This window comes from Homo sapiens, chromosome 2, assembly GCF_000001405.40.
Source record: "Homo sapiens chromosome 2, GRCh38.p14 Primary Assembly".
Lineage (NCBI taxonomy): Eukaryota > Metazoa > Chordata > Mammalia > Primates > Hominidae > Homo > Homo sapiens.
The window spans coordinates 171,105,838-171,121,550 of NC_000002.12; the positions used below are offsets into that span (position 1 = coordinate 171,105,838).

Genomic DNA, 15,713 nt, shown 5'->3' on the forward strand with positions numbered 1-15,713 from the left:
CCAGCAATCCTACTACTGGGTATACACAAAGGAAAGGAAATCAGTATGCTGAAGAGATATCTGCATTCCCATGTTTACTGTAACATGATTCATAATAGCTGAAGTATGGAATCAATGTAAGTGTCCATCAACAGACAAATGGATAAAGAAAATGTGGTATACATACACAATGGAATACTATTTCACCATTAAAAAAATTTCTCTCATTCACAGCAACACTGATGAGCTTGGAGGACATTGTTAAGTGAAATTAGCCAGGCACAGAAAGATAAATACTGCATGTTCTCACTCATATGCAGAAACCAAAAAGGCTGATCTTGTAAGTAGACAGCAGAATAGAGGCAGGGAAGAGTAGGCGGGAGGGGACAGCCAACAGTTGATTAATGAATATAGAAGTACAGCTGCATAGGAAGAGTAAGTCCTGGTGTTCTATAGCACTATAGGAAGACTATAATTAACAACAATTTATTGTATATCTTCAAATAACTGGAAGAGCAGATTTCGAATGTTCCTATCACAAAGAAATGATAAATGTTTGAGGTGACAAATATGCTAATTACCCTGATCTGATCATTATGCATTGTCTCTACATGTAATATCACACTGTACTCCATAAATATGTACAATTACTCTATCAATTAAAAACAATAAAAGCAGAAAAACAAAAAATGAAGGTTGTATGTACAGTATCTGTTGCTTGTGCTTACTTCCTTGCTGCTGGCAAATATACTGCTCTATTTTTCTCTAGAAATAAATCAATACTCCTAGATAATGTATTTACCTTTCTACCCGACCCTCTCTGCTAGAGCACCGTTGCTACCAGCAATTTGATCCTTAGAATGTTTTTACTTCCAAATTACAAACTCTTGATGCTACTATCATTAAAATTTGCCTACCTATTAATACTGCATCTCACAAGCACATTATCATCATCACTCTAAACATTACAGGAGTCATTGGTCACAACTGTCATACATTCTGTAGCTTCACCTATATTTTAAAATTACAACTTAAAAGACAAAAGAGTAAAACCAACATTAATTCAGTATCTTCATCCAACATATACCTGTACTTGAATTTTCCCTATTGTCACAAAAACGTCCTTTATAACTGTTTTCCTCCAGTCCAGGTGCAAATCAGGATTCAGATTCACACATTACATCTGATTGCTATGTCTTGTCTCTTTAGCCTCATCCAATCTACAACAATTCCATTTACCTCTCTTTGTTCTTCAAGACACTGAATACTTTGATGAGTCCAGGCCAGTTGTCTAGCAGTGTCCCAGGAGTATTGTCTCATGACTAAATTCAAATCAAATATTTCCAGCATTAAAAACAGAGGTGATTTGTGTAACTCCTACTGCACCACCTTAGGAGGCACATACAATGTCAGATTCTCTGAGATAATATGCCAATGAAAAGTCTGATCTTGCTTATTATGGTGGTGAGAAATGGTGTCCATTTTAGACACATTTCTCTTTTGTAATAACTAATCTATGGGGTAAAACATTAGGACTCTGTAAGTATACTGCTCTTGAAAACATTTTACTAAATGTAAATGTCCAATGGAAAACATATGATCCTTGCCTTAATCAATAATTATATTGGGGATGTCAAATGGTGAGTGTTCTGATTCTACATTAGCTGGCATTCTTCTAAGAGACTATTATGTATTATAACAACAAGCATAACTAGCACCTAGATGTTGGTTCCTAAGCACCATTCTTCATTAAAATGAACCAGGAATCCTTGGAGAATGTCTGTTCATATTCAATGCAGAAAAGGACGAGGGAAGCCAGAAATGTCTTGTGTCTGAAAACCAAAGACTGATAAAAGATCTCTAAAGTGACCATGCGAAGGAGTTTCCACTGGCCAAATTTGGGACAATTTGAATTTCAAAGACAATAATGAATTATAACAACAGAATAAAAAAAGGAGCTGGCCAGGCGCAGTGGCTCAGGCCTGTAATTCCACCATTCTGGGAGGCCGACGTGGGCGAACTGCTTGAGCCCAGGAGTTAAATGCCAGCCTGGGCAACATGGTGAGACTCATCTCTAAAAAAAATACAAAAAACTTAGCCAGGCATGGTGGCACTTGCCTATCCAAGCTACTCAGGAGGCTTACGCATGAGGATCACTTGAGCCTAGGAGGCAGAGGCTGCAGTGAGCCGAGATTGCGTCACCGTACTCCAGCCTGGGTGACAGAGTGAGACCCCTCTCTCAAAAAAAAAACAACAACAACAACAACAACAAAAAAACAGGAGCCAGGAGACCACAGCAATACCAGAGAGACACAGTAAAGATGTACATGAACACAAATTAAGCAAAACTGTTTACACCTTTTAAATCTAGATGAAGAATATGATGGCATTCTTTATACTACATTTTCAACTTATCTATAGGTATAGATTATTTTCAAAGTAAAAAGTAATACAAATTTTAAGGGGAACAAACCCACAGGAATGCAGTTTGAGAGAGCATTTTTAGTGTTATAATGACACTCTATACTCATATACTATACACTACACTGAGTATACTGTCATTATAACACTACAATAGAATATGTAACTTTAAAACATCAGGAAAAAAATTCATTTGTCCAATGGAAAACACGTAAAGTACAAGAAGACATTAAGCAATAGATGGCAGAACTGAGTCAGAAAATAACAATAATTACAAAAAATGTAATAAACAAAACTCACCATTTAAGAGAGTCGAATGCTCCTATTGTATCAAAAAACATATGCTGTCTACAAGAAATGCATTTAATTTTTTTTTTTTTAAATGAGACAGGGTCTCACTCTGTCGTCCAGGCTGGAGTGAAGTAGCATGATCTCAGCTCACTGCAGCCTCAACCTCCTGAGCTCAAGTAATCCTCCCAACTCAGCCTCCCAAGAAGCTGGGACCACAGGTGGGTACCACCACGCCCGGCTAATGTTTTGTAGAGATAGGGTTTCATCATGTTGCCCAGGCTGGTCTCGAACTCCTGGGCTCAAGTGATCCACCTGCCCCCGCCTCCCAAAGTGCTGGGATTACAGGCATGAGCCACTACTCCCAGCCCCAAGAAACACATTTAAAAAGAGCAAAAATAAAATAGAAAACCATATACCTAAAACAAACATAAACCAAAAGAAAGCTAAAATTAACAGTAAGTAGTATACAGTCACAAAAAGAATAGAACAAGAGATACACATGTAAAAATACTGCCTCAAAATATATCAAGCAAAAACAAATGAACAGCAAGTAGAAATACATAAATCATCAGTTAAATATTTTAATACATCTCTCTCAGAAAAAGATACGCCAAGTTGACAATGCAAGGAGATATCTAAGATCTGAACAAATACAATTAACAGCTATTAGATATGAAATGTTTCTAAAATAAGGCACATTCAGGGACTGATGTCAGGGACTGATGTCATACAAACTACTTTCCAACTGTAATGCAACAGATTGAAAATCCACAACAAAAAGATAGCTCAAAATATCCTATATTAATAACCCTTGTGTTAAAAAGGAAACAAAGGTAATTATGAAATATACAGATCTGAACATTAATTAAAACAGCACCCATCAAAACTTATGGAACAGTTACAGCAGTTCCTGGAGGGACAGCATTAATCAAGAAACAAGAAAAGTTAAAATAAACGAGCTGATATTACTTCACACCCACTACACTAAAATGAAAAAGAATCACAACAAAATGTCAGGGAGGATGCAGAACAATCAAAGTTCTTATACAGGTACAAACACTTTGGAAATCTGGCAGTTTCTTACCAAGTAAAATATACATCTATCCAGCTAAGTATCTTCCCAAGAGAAATTAAAACATGTTACCAAAACATTTGTACCAAAATGTTTATTGTAACCTTACTCCTAACAGGCAAAATGAAAACATCCAAATACCACTCTACTAAATGCATAACTGTGGTATATCCATACAGTGGAATTCTATTCAGCAACAAAAAGAATTAACTACTAAAACAGCAACAACCTGGATAAATCTCAAAAACACTACATTAAATAAAGGATGCCAGATACAAAAGAATATACTGCATACTTTCATTTACTGTATATGGAATCCAAGTACAGGCAGAACTAATCTGTAGTGACAGAAATTAGATAAGGGTTGGGGGAAAGGGTTTGACAAGAGGGAACTGACTGGAAAGGGGCAGAAGAAAACTCTCTGGAGGGATGGAAGTGTTCTATATTTTGTTTTGTGTGGTATTTACACTGAACAATTTCCAAATCTAAGAGGGGGGAATACGTGAATGGTTATAATACCTTTATTCCTAATTATCAAAACACTGGAAACAACACAAATGTTCCTCATCTAGAAAATGGACTAAAAAGGCCAGGTGTGGTGGCTCATGCCTGTAATGCCAGCACTTTGGGAAGCCAAGGCAGGTGGATTACTTGAAGTCAGGAGTTCAGACCAGCCTGACCAACAGGGTGAAACCCCTTCACTACTAAAAATACAAAAATTAGCTGGGCATGGTGGCACATGCCTGTAATCCCAGCTACTCGGGAGGCTGAGGCAGAAGAATCGCTTGAACCTGGGAAGTGGAGGTTGCAGTGAGCCAAGGTTGTGCCACTGCACTCCAGTTGGGCGACAGAGCAAGACTGTCTCAAAAAAATAAACAAACAGAAAATGGACTAAAAAGAAGTGGTTATCTTCATAGAGCAGAATACTATTTAGCATTCAAAAGGGTCAAACATCCAACAACATGGATCAATCTCAAATGAATGCATTATGATAAGTTAAAAGAAGCCAGACTCAAAAAGGTACATATTGCAATATGTATCCATTTATATAGCATCTCTTAAAAACCTAAACTAAAAGAACAGAAAACAGATCAGTGGTTGCCAGAGGCAACCTAGAGGAGTTGACTACAAAGGGGTATGGGAAAATATTTCAGCAAAATAAACTATTTAATACCTTAATTGTGATGGTGGTTACACAATTATATACATCTGTCAAATCTTACAACAGAACTATATAGTAAAAAAGGGTAATTTTACTAACTGATAATTATACCTTAATAAAAACCATGGGGAGAAAGTCCCATAACCGAACACATAAGAGCTACGCATTTTACTGTACTTAATTATTTCTATATACAAGTAAATAAACTAAACATTCAACTCAATAGCTGGAAGAAGAGCCACAGAAGCAAATCCAAAATAACAAGTAAATTATGAAGGCAGAAATCACTGCGGAAAAGGGAGAAGAAAAAAACAGTGAAAAAAATTAAAACAAAAATTTGTTTATTTGAAATATTCATTAAACAAAGCTCTGGCAAGAATGAACAGAAAAGGAGAATATGAAGAAAGAAAATAACAAAGGAGGTTTTTAAAGTATTGTAACTATATACTAGTAAGTTTAAAAGCTTACATGAAATGAACTAATGAACTAAATATTAAAGAAATTAAAATCACAGTAAAAGATCTCCCCGGCTGAGCACAGTGGCTCACACCTGTAATTCCATCACTTTGGGAGGCCAAGACAGGTGGATCACTTGAGTCAAGAGTTTGAGACCAGTCTGGGTACATGGTAAAACCTGGTCTCCACAAAAAAAGTCCAGCAACAACAAAAAACTAGCCGAATGTCATGGTGCAAGCGCCTATAGTCCCAGCTACTTGGGAGGCTGAGATAGAGGGACTGCTTGAGCCTGGGAGGCATAGGTTGCAGTGAGCCGAGATCACACCCCTGCACTCCAGCCTGGGCGACAAAGTGAGATCCTGTATTCAAAAAAAAAAAAAAAAGCCACCATTCTAAATAAGCTCCAGGCCAGGCCAAGACAGTTTTACGTGTCTACTCATATTCTCATGAACATTTCCTATCATATACAGGATGCTGAAAAAACTAAAAATAGTGAAAGGGGCCCAGTTCATTTTGTGAGGCTAATGTGATAGTGAATTATAAAACAGATATGGTAGGGTAATGAAAATGTTCTGTATCTTAAGAGGAATGTAGATTACATGAGTGTATATACATTTGTCAAAACTCACTGAACTACATTCTTCCAGTTGGCACATTCATTTCTCTTAAAGCATATATGTAAAAATCCTAAATAATTAATCATGTATTAAATCCAATAAATGGTAGGGTTTTTTGTTTGTTTTTGGTTTTTTTGAGACAGTCTTGCTCTGTGGCCCAGGCTGGAGTGCAGTGGCATGACCCTGGCGCACTGCAACCTCCGCCTGCCGAGTTCAAGCAATTCTCCTGCCTCAGCCTCCCAAGTAGCTGGGACTATAGGCAAACGCCACCATGCCCAGCTAATTTTTGTATTTTTACTAGAGACAGGGTTTCACCATATTGGCCAGGCTGTTCTCAAACTCCTTACCTCGTGATCCGCCCACTTTGGCCTCCCAAAGTGCTGGGATTACAGGTGTGAGCCACCACGCCTGGCCTGATAAATGTTTTTTAAATAGTATATCATATCAAGTATGGTTTATCCCAGAAATACAAACAAGGTTCAACATTTTAAGAATCTATTAAATTATTGTATTAATAATCCAAAGGAGAAAAATCTGAGTCTTTTAATCAACACTGAAAAAAGACTTTCATAAGTTCAAAACTATTTATAATTTTTAAAACCAACAAAATCTCCTTAACTAACCAGGAATAGAAAGGCTCTTCTTTAATTTGGGCAGTTATATACTCCAAACCTACAGCAAACATTACACTTAATAAAGAACCTTCAGACAATTCCTCTTTTAGAGCAAGAACAAGACACAGCATTCAAGGTCATGACCAAGATAAGGAAAAAATATGTATTTAAGGTATAAGAGATTAAACTATCATTTTTGGAAGATAATTATTTCCCTTAAATAAATCTACAGAACCAACAAACCATTACAACCAATAAAAGAGAACAGCAAGACTGCCAGATACAAGACCAAACTATAAAAATTAAAAGCATCCTAAGCCAGCAAAAATCAACTAGAAAATATAATTAAAAAAAGATCAGCAACAAACTTTAAAGGATCTAACAGCCGAAAATTCCTAAGAAGTCCATGGGGAGAACTGAATAAACAGGGAGACATTTCATGTACTTAAATAGGATAACCTAATCTTACAAAGATGCTAGTAGTCCCTAATCTACAAATTGAATGCATTCAAAATTAAAATTACATTTGAATATTTTAAGGAAAAAGACACAAAAAAAGCTATAATAGAAGAATTCCCAAATGCTATCAAGAATATAGAGATGCTTAAATTTTATGAAGGACTAAAGATCCATAAAGAACAAAGTCAACCCCAGAAAAAGAGTAAACGAGAGATTTTACTCTACCATATAAAAAAGACATACCAAAATATGATAATATTTTTAATGTGATACTGGAGCACAAGAACACAGATCACTGAAACATCAGAGACATTTCAGAGACAAACCTACATACTATATATACATGGCAACCACATACATATCCTTTTTTTTTTTTTTTGAGACAGTGTCTCACTCTTGTCACCCAGGCTGGAGTGCAATGGCACAATCTCGGCTCACTGCAACCTCCATCTCCTGGGTTCAAGCAATTCTCCTGTCTCAGCCTCCCAAGTAGCTGGGATTACAGGCACCCGCCACCATGCCCAGCTAATTTTTTGTATTTTTTAGTAGAGATGGGGTTCCACCATGTTCACCAGGCTAGTCTTGAACTCCTGATCTCAAGTGATCCACCAGCCTCGGCCTCCCAAAGTGCTGGGATTACAAGCGTGAGCCACCACACCCAGCCCACATATACTTATCATATATATGTAAATCATATATGTGTTAATTATGTAAGTCATATGTATGATAAAGATGGCATCACAAATCAATTTTTAAAAAGATGATTTAAGAAGCACTGTGGAGAAAACTTGTTCACTAGATGGAGAAAAATAAAACTGGATCACTACCAATATTATATAAAAGATGGACCCTAGATGGATTAAAGAGCAAGTATGATAGTAAACCTATAAAATTAGTAACAGAAACTGTAGAATATCTTTATGGTCCAGGGATGCAGAAGCAGTATTTAATTAGAATACCATCAAGGTCTATGAGATCAAATTCTAGTTTTTGAATTTCTTGTTTGAGCCATTCTAACTATTTGTAAAGACTGATATTTGAGGACTTTTATTCTTTCTTAGGGATCATCCAAAAAACAAAAATTATATTTATTGTTAATAGAATAAAACTCATTCCATCTTGCAATTACCAGATGTCAAATGGGCCCTTCCATAAATCTAAAATATATTATGGAATCTTACATATCTTATTTTTCCTATATTTTGAATTTATCACGTACTAGCAATTACTTCATCATTACTTATTATTTTCATCAATTATTCCCAACTATACTAAAAAACAAAATAAAAAATCAAAGAAAAAAATGAAGAATGATGGTGTATGGTAGGCAGAATAATTTCCCCAATGATACACACACCCTAAACTCCAGAGCCTGTGACTATGTTACCTTACATGGCCAAAAAAAGGACTTTGCAGAAGTGATTAAGGGTAAGGCTTTTGAACTGGGGAGATTATCCCAGATTATTTGGGTTGGTCTAATCTAATCACATGAGTACATAAAAGTAGAGGCCCAACCTTTCCAGACTGTTGTCAGAGGGAGACGTGACTTTGGAAGAATGGTCAAGGAGATGGGCTGTTGCTGGCTTTGAAACTGGAGGAATAGCCAAGCCAAAGAACACAGCAGCCTCTAGAAACTAAAAAAGGTGGCCTGGTGCAGTGGCTCACACCTGTATTCCAACACTTTGGGAGGCCGAGGTGGGCAAATCACCTGAGCCCAGGTGTTCAAGACCAGCCTGGGCAACAAGGTGAAACCTCTTCACTACTAAAAATACAAAAATTAGCCGGGCACGGTGGCACGCACCTGTACTGCCAGCTACTGGGGAGGCTAAGGTGGGAGCATCACCTGACCCCAGGAGGCAGAAGGTGCAGTGAGCCAAGATCATGCCACTGCACTCCAGCCTGAGTGACAGAGTGAGATCCTGTCTCAGAGGGAAAAAAAAAGAAGAAGAAAGAAACTAAAAAAGGCAAGGAAACTGATCCTCCCCTTGAGCCTCCAAAAAGGATTACAGTCCTATAAACACCATGGTTTTAGCCCATAAAACTAGTAACAGACTTCTAACCTACAAAACTATAATAAATTTGTGTTATCTTAAACTCCTAAGTTTACTTAGTTTGTTATGGAAACAATAGAAAAATACAGATTTAATAACCTAAAAGGATGGTGCAATAGTAAAATAAATCATCTTTCAGTTTTCTTCTTGCCTTCCATTATCTTTCAAGTACTGCATCATCTTTCATCTTGCTTCATCTTTTAAGAATTTCTTTCTTTTTTTTTTTTTTGAGACTGAGTTTCGCTCTTGTTGCCCAGGCTGGAGTGCAATGGCGCCATCTTGGCTCACCGCAACCTCCGTCTCCCAGGTTCAAGCAATTCTCCTGCCTCAGCCTCCCGAGTAGCTAGGATTACAGGCATGCACCACCATGCCTGGCTAATTTTTTTTTGTATTTTTAATAGAGACGGGGTTTCTCCATGTTGAGGCTGGTCTTGAACTCCTGACCTCAGGTGACCCGCCCACCTCGGCCTCCCAAAGTGCTGGGATTACAGGCGTGAGCAACCGTGCCCGGCCTTTTAAGAATATTTTTGAAAGACTAGAATACCATCTTCGTAGTCTAATGTTAGCTTTCACTGACTCCACCTAAGAATTCAAAAATTTTCATTTTCCACCCACGATGGCCAAGAGAAGAAAATGACAGAGGAATACATCTTACAATTATTAGATGAATCAGAAAATATAAACACCAACAGTTGCATGTCTAGACTCTGAAGCTGATGGTGGTGATATTGACTATATGTAAAATCTCACATAATCAGGTAACATAATGCTAGACGAATTTTCTCAAATTCAAGAATCAATGAATTGAACAATATATTTCTAAGGAAAAAAAGAAAACACAGTAAGGACTGCATCATATAATATTCTGCAACCATATTCTGGACCACCTCATTATGCTCAAAGGACACATCACAGTACTCTTTCATCTTTTATGTTTGTGAGCCAAAATTTACCTGATACAAAGAGATGTACAAGGTAATTCTTATTAAAATATCTAATAAAGTTGTTTTTCATAATACTTTTATTCATGTGTCTATAAATTAGTAGTAAAATAGCTTATAAATATAAAAATACAAAAAGGTCTATTTGACCCAAATGGTTAATGGTGATGCTTATTTCTGTTAAATACCAAGAGTTAGTCAAAACTTTGGAGATACAAACCGTAAGGCAAAAAACTGGTGAGACTGATTACAACAAATTTAGAGAGTTCAATGTGCTATGAATTCACACAACTCCAGTTCAACAGAGACCATGAACAAAGTAAGAGACATATGACAAAGTGGGAGAAGTTACTTACGATGTATGAAGTCAACAAGAAATCAACATGTAGAATATACATGAAACATGAGAAAATCAGTTCAAAAAAGAAAGTAATACTAATATAAAAACAGACAAAGAATTAAAATAATTTCTAAGACTCCCAACAACCTAACAAGCATACAAAGAAATGCTCAAAATAGGCCGACCGTGGTGGCTCACGCCTGTAATCCCAGCACTTTGGGAGGCCGAGGTGGGTGGATCACCTGAGGTCAGGAGTTCGAGACCAGCTGGCCAGCATGGTAAAACCCCGTCTCTACTAAAAATACAAAAATTAGCCAGGCATGGTGGTGAGCACCTGTAATCCCAGCTACTTGGGAGGCTGAGGCAGGAGAATCGCTTGAACCTGGGAGGCGGAGGTTGCAGTGAGCCAAGATCATGCCACTGCACTCCAGCCTGGGCGACAAAGTGAGACTCCCTCAAAAAAAAAAAAAAAAGAAGAAATGCTCAAAATAATTGATGGTACAAGTAAAACAAGAAGATATTTTATACTTAAATGAGGAATGTGGATGGTGTCAAGTGTTTCTGCGATATGGAAATACAGAAATACTCATGCACTCCGCTGAAAATGCAGATTAGTACAACTGTTCTGAATAGCAACCTTGTATTTATCCAATTTCAGTCTATACATACCCTATGATCTAGCAATTGTACTCTTGGGAAAACATCCTAAATAAATGGTCACAAAGGTCCATAAGAGCCCAAGTACATGAAAACTCATCACAGTTTGAGGTAGACAATCTGGGTCTATCACTGAAAGGCTGAACACAGCAATACCTAATCTTTTTGGCACCCAGGATCAGTTTCATGGAAGACAATTTTTCCATGAAAAAAGAGGGAAGGTGGAGGTTGGGTGGGGAATAGTTTAGAGATGAAACTGTTCTACCTCATATCAGGCATTAGATTCTCATAAGGAGTGCACAACCTGGATCCCTTGCATGTGCACAGTTCACAATAGAGTTCATGCTCCTATGAGAATCTAACGCTGCTGAATCAAACAGGTGGAGCTCAGGCAGTAATGCTCACTCTCCTGCCGCTCACCTCCTGCTGTGTGGCCGGTTACTAACAGGACTGGTACTGGTCCTTGGCCCAGGGGTTGAGGACTCCTGGCCTAAAAGATATACACTATTAAAGTTTTATGCAGCAGTTAGAAACTGTGGATTAGATGTACAGATAGGACCATGGATAATAAGGGCAGGAAGGATAAGAAACTACATAGTGGGAGACAGGCAGTACAATCTACCAAACTCCTTTTTATCCCTGAAACATATTATGCTGTATTATAATGCCCCTGAAATATGGTATACTACATTAAAAACGCATTTATGAACACTGATCTTATTCTACACATTATAAAAGTTACATTTGCTGTTAAGCACGTTATGTAGGAATCCTTTACATACTATTTTAGATCATTTAATAGAAAGAAAGACTGTCAAATAAAGATGAGAATTTTGCTCACTTTAGCTCCAACACTGCAACTGCCCGTACTTCCAGTGCTCCCACTTGCAACTCCAGTAAATCTAGCTTCCAATAACTCTTGCCTTCTTGGATCCAGACTATGAAGCTCATCCATTGCACCTATTAAGAAAAAAAAATATATATGTACACATATATATGTGTGTATACTTTATACTTACACACACAAATATATATATGTGATTAGTTAAGATGTTAAAAATTTAGGAATGAATGCTACAAGCAGACGAAATTGAGAGACTTTATTTTTAAATGTACACATCAACTTATCAAAACATCCTACAATGGATTTCCAACACTTTTGGCTGCAACTCACAGAAGAAATATATTTTCCATCTAATTTAGTACACAGTTACAAACATTCATATATTTAAAAGTTTCACAGAATACCAAATCTTACTGCAATGCAGTAGTAAGAGTCCTGTACAACATCTATTTTCTAGCCTATCCTAGTCCACTTAAAAAAGAGTGAGGTGACACTAGTAAATAGCAATTAAATTGATTTCATAAACCAACAATGGACCATGGGTCCATAGTTTAAAAAATACTACTCTCCTAATGTAATCTCCCTATTCTGAGCATACCCAGAATTGTAACTATGCGACATTACCACTTAATTATTTTGTTTATGTATATCTTATATAACTAACTACATTTTAAACTATAAAGAACTGTTTTATTATTGTCACAATCCTTAAGATTTTTTGTACGGTTGATAGTTTTAAGTTTCCATCAGGTAAATGAAACACAAACACGTTTACCACACACACAGATGACTGAAGTAACACTTACTAGTATTAAACCACCTTGAAAATTAAGGGGAAAAATTTAACACCCTGATGTTATTGTTATTATGCAGACTAAAGCACTCCAAATTCTAGATGAAGTTCAAACAAAAATTACTTTATCTATGTCTGCTAATTCTCTTCTAACAAAAACCCCAGAAGTGACATAAATGAATGGCTCTCAAAGGGAGCAGGTAAGGATATTACCAGAATCCAGAATGACTTGGGGAACATTTTTGAACTATACTAGCCCCTTCCACACATCCTGACATTCCTCTCCTAAAGGTTAACAACTACTCCTATAGATCTTATCTTTTGAAATTCCCTTTCTTACTTTTTATCCTCACCTGGACAGAGGACTAGATGGATGGTGGCCACTCTTTCATGCTTATTTGGATCCCTGTACCTGAAAATACACCTTCCTCTGTCTACTTCTTCTAGCTCAAAAAAAGAGGTAAATCCCTCTAAAAAGCTAAAGCCTTTAACACTTGCTTTTGACCTCACTCCTTCTTGACATCCAAGAAATCTTGTATTCACAAGTACCCTACCTCTCTGGCATCTACTCACTCCTTGTCTCCTTCTGCCCTCACTTATGTCTTTTTAGAAGTCTACCTTAGCCTCAATTTTACTGTACTACCATTTAATTCTTCCCTTAAACTGGTTTATAACCATATCATCCTTAGTATCATCAATGCTTCCATTTTTTCTCTTCCTGCTATTACATCAGAAACTGTATATTATTCCTTTATTGAGAGGAAAAACCAAAGCAAAAACATAAACAGTTCTAGTTTTCATAATTCAGCCACACCTGTTCCCCCCACCACCTTCTTGTTCTCTCTTAACTGCAAATATTCCCCATGGCCTTCTGTTTTCTTTTCAGATCTCCTTTGGCTTCAAACATGATTCTCAAATCACACACCTATTATATGCCAGGTCTGCCAAGTCTTAAGCCTGGCACTGAAACTTAAAATCTACTGAAGTTTTGCTTTATAAAAAACTATCAATCCTTCCCTGGCACAGGACTATTTTGAAAACATTAAATCACATTTTTAAAATAAGAATATGGTACTGGCATAAAGACAGACATATATATAGAGCAATGGGATAAAACAGGGAGACCAGAAAATAAACCCTCACGTGAAATGATTTTCAGTAAGAACACCAACACCATTTAGTGGAGAAAGATCAGTCTTTTCAACAAATGGTGCAGGGAAAACTGGATATCCACATGCAAATAAATTGAGTTGGATCCTTACTTTAACCATATAAAAAAATTAACTCAAAATGGATCAAATGCCTGAATATAAGACCTAAAACTTTCTAACTCTTAGAAGAAAACATATGGATAAAGCTTCATGGCACTGAATTTAGCAATGGTTTCTTTGATCTAACACCAAAAGCACAGGCAACTAAAGAAAAAATAGGGCCAGGTGCAGTGGCTCATGCCTGAAATCCCAGCACTTTGGGAGGCCAAGGCCGGCAGATCACTTGAGGTCAGCAGTTCGAGACTAGCCTGGCCAACATCTCTACTAAACGTCTCTACTAAAAATACAAAAAAATTAGCCGAGCGTGGTGGTGTGTGCCTGTAATCTCAGCTACTCAGGAGGCTGAGGCAAGAGAATCACCTGAACCCAGGAGGCAAAGGCTGCAGTGAATCGAGGTCGTACCACTGCACTCCAGCCTGGGCGACAGAGTGAGACTCCGTCAGAAAAAAAAAAAAAAAAAAAAAAAAGGAAGGAAGGAAAATAGGTAAGTTGGACTTCATCAAAATTAAAAACTTTTGTGCCTAAAAGGACACAATCAACAGAGTGAGACGGCAACCCACAGAATGGAAAAAATATCTGAAAATTATATATCTGATAAAGGATTGATATCCAGAATATATAAAGAACTTCTACAACTCAATAACAAAAAAAACCCAATTAAAAAATGGGCAAAAGACTGGAATACAAATTTTTCCAAAGAAGATATGCAAATGACCAATAAGCACATGAAAAGATGCTCAACATTAATCATGAGGGAAATGCAAATCAAAATCACGGTGAGACACCACTTCATACCCATTAGGATGGCTGTTATCAAAAACTAAAACCCCAAATATACAAGTGCTAGTGAGGATGTGGAGAAATTGGAATCCTTGTGCATCGCTGGTGGGAACATAAAATGGTGCGGCCACTGTGCAAAACAGTATAGCGGTTCCTCAAAAAATGAAACACTGAATTACCATATGATCCAGCAATTTCACTTCTGAGTATATAACCAATACAAGCGAAAGCAATGGCTCAAACAGGTATTTGTACAAACACATTTACAGCAGCATTATTCACATTAGCCTAAAGGTAGAAGCAATCCAAGTGGCCATCAACAGATGAATGGATAAACAAAATGTGGTATCTACATACAATGGAATATTATTCAGCCTGAAAAATGAAGAAAATATGGGTGCATGCTACAACACGGAGATCTCCGAAGATATGCTAAGTAAAATAAGCCAGTCACAAAAGGTGGTTGCCAGGGGCTGGGGGTGTGGTGGAATGGGAGGTTAGTATTTAATGGGTACAGAGTTTCAGCTGAGGAAGACAGAAAATTTCTACAGATGAATAGTGGTGATGGTAGCACAGTATGAATGTACTTAATACCACTGAACTTTACATTTAAAAATAGTTAACATGGTAAATTTTATATTTTGCCACAATTTAAAAAAAAATAATTAGATGTCGCGGCGCCTGCCTATAATCCCAGCACTTTGGGAGCCCAAGGCAAAGAGAATCACTTGAGTCCAGGAGTTCAAGATCAGCCTGAGCAACGTGGCAAAACCCTGTCTCTACAAAAAATACAAAAATTAGCTGGGTGTGGCAGTGAGCATCTGTAATTCCAGCTACTAAGGAGCTGAGGTGGGAGGACTGCTTGAGCCCAGGAGGTCGAGGCTGCAGTGAGCCAAGATTGCACCACTGCACTCCACGCTGGGTGACACAGCGAGAACCTGTCTCAAATAATACTTACAAGTTCT

The 15,713-nt window shown here is 37.3% G+C and overlaps 1 protein-coding gene across 5 annotated transcripts in view; it reads right to left on the reverse strand.

The window, feature by feature from the left end:
* The window catches only part of TLK1 (tousled like kinase 1), a 240,471-nt gene that overhangs the window by 115,015 nt on the left and 109,743 nt on the right, over nt 1–15,713 (reverse strand). For 4 of the 5 annotated variants that reach the window (NM_001136554.2, XM_011512238.4, NM_012290.5 and 1 more), the window contains exon 2: nt 11,902–12,020. The exons of the other annotated variant lie outside the window; for it this stretch is intronic. In NM_001136554.2, coding sequence (NP_001130026.1) covers nt 11,902–12,015 — 114 coding nt within the window. In that variant the 5' untranslated portion in view covers nt 12,016–12,020. The remainder of the gene's footprint in view (nt 1–11,901; nt 12,021–15,713) is intronic. 5 annotated transcript variants of the gene reach the window in all.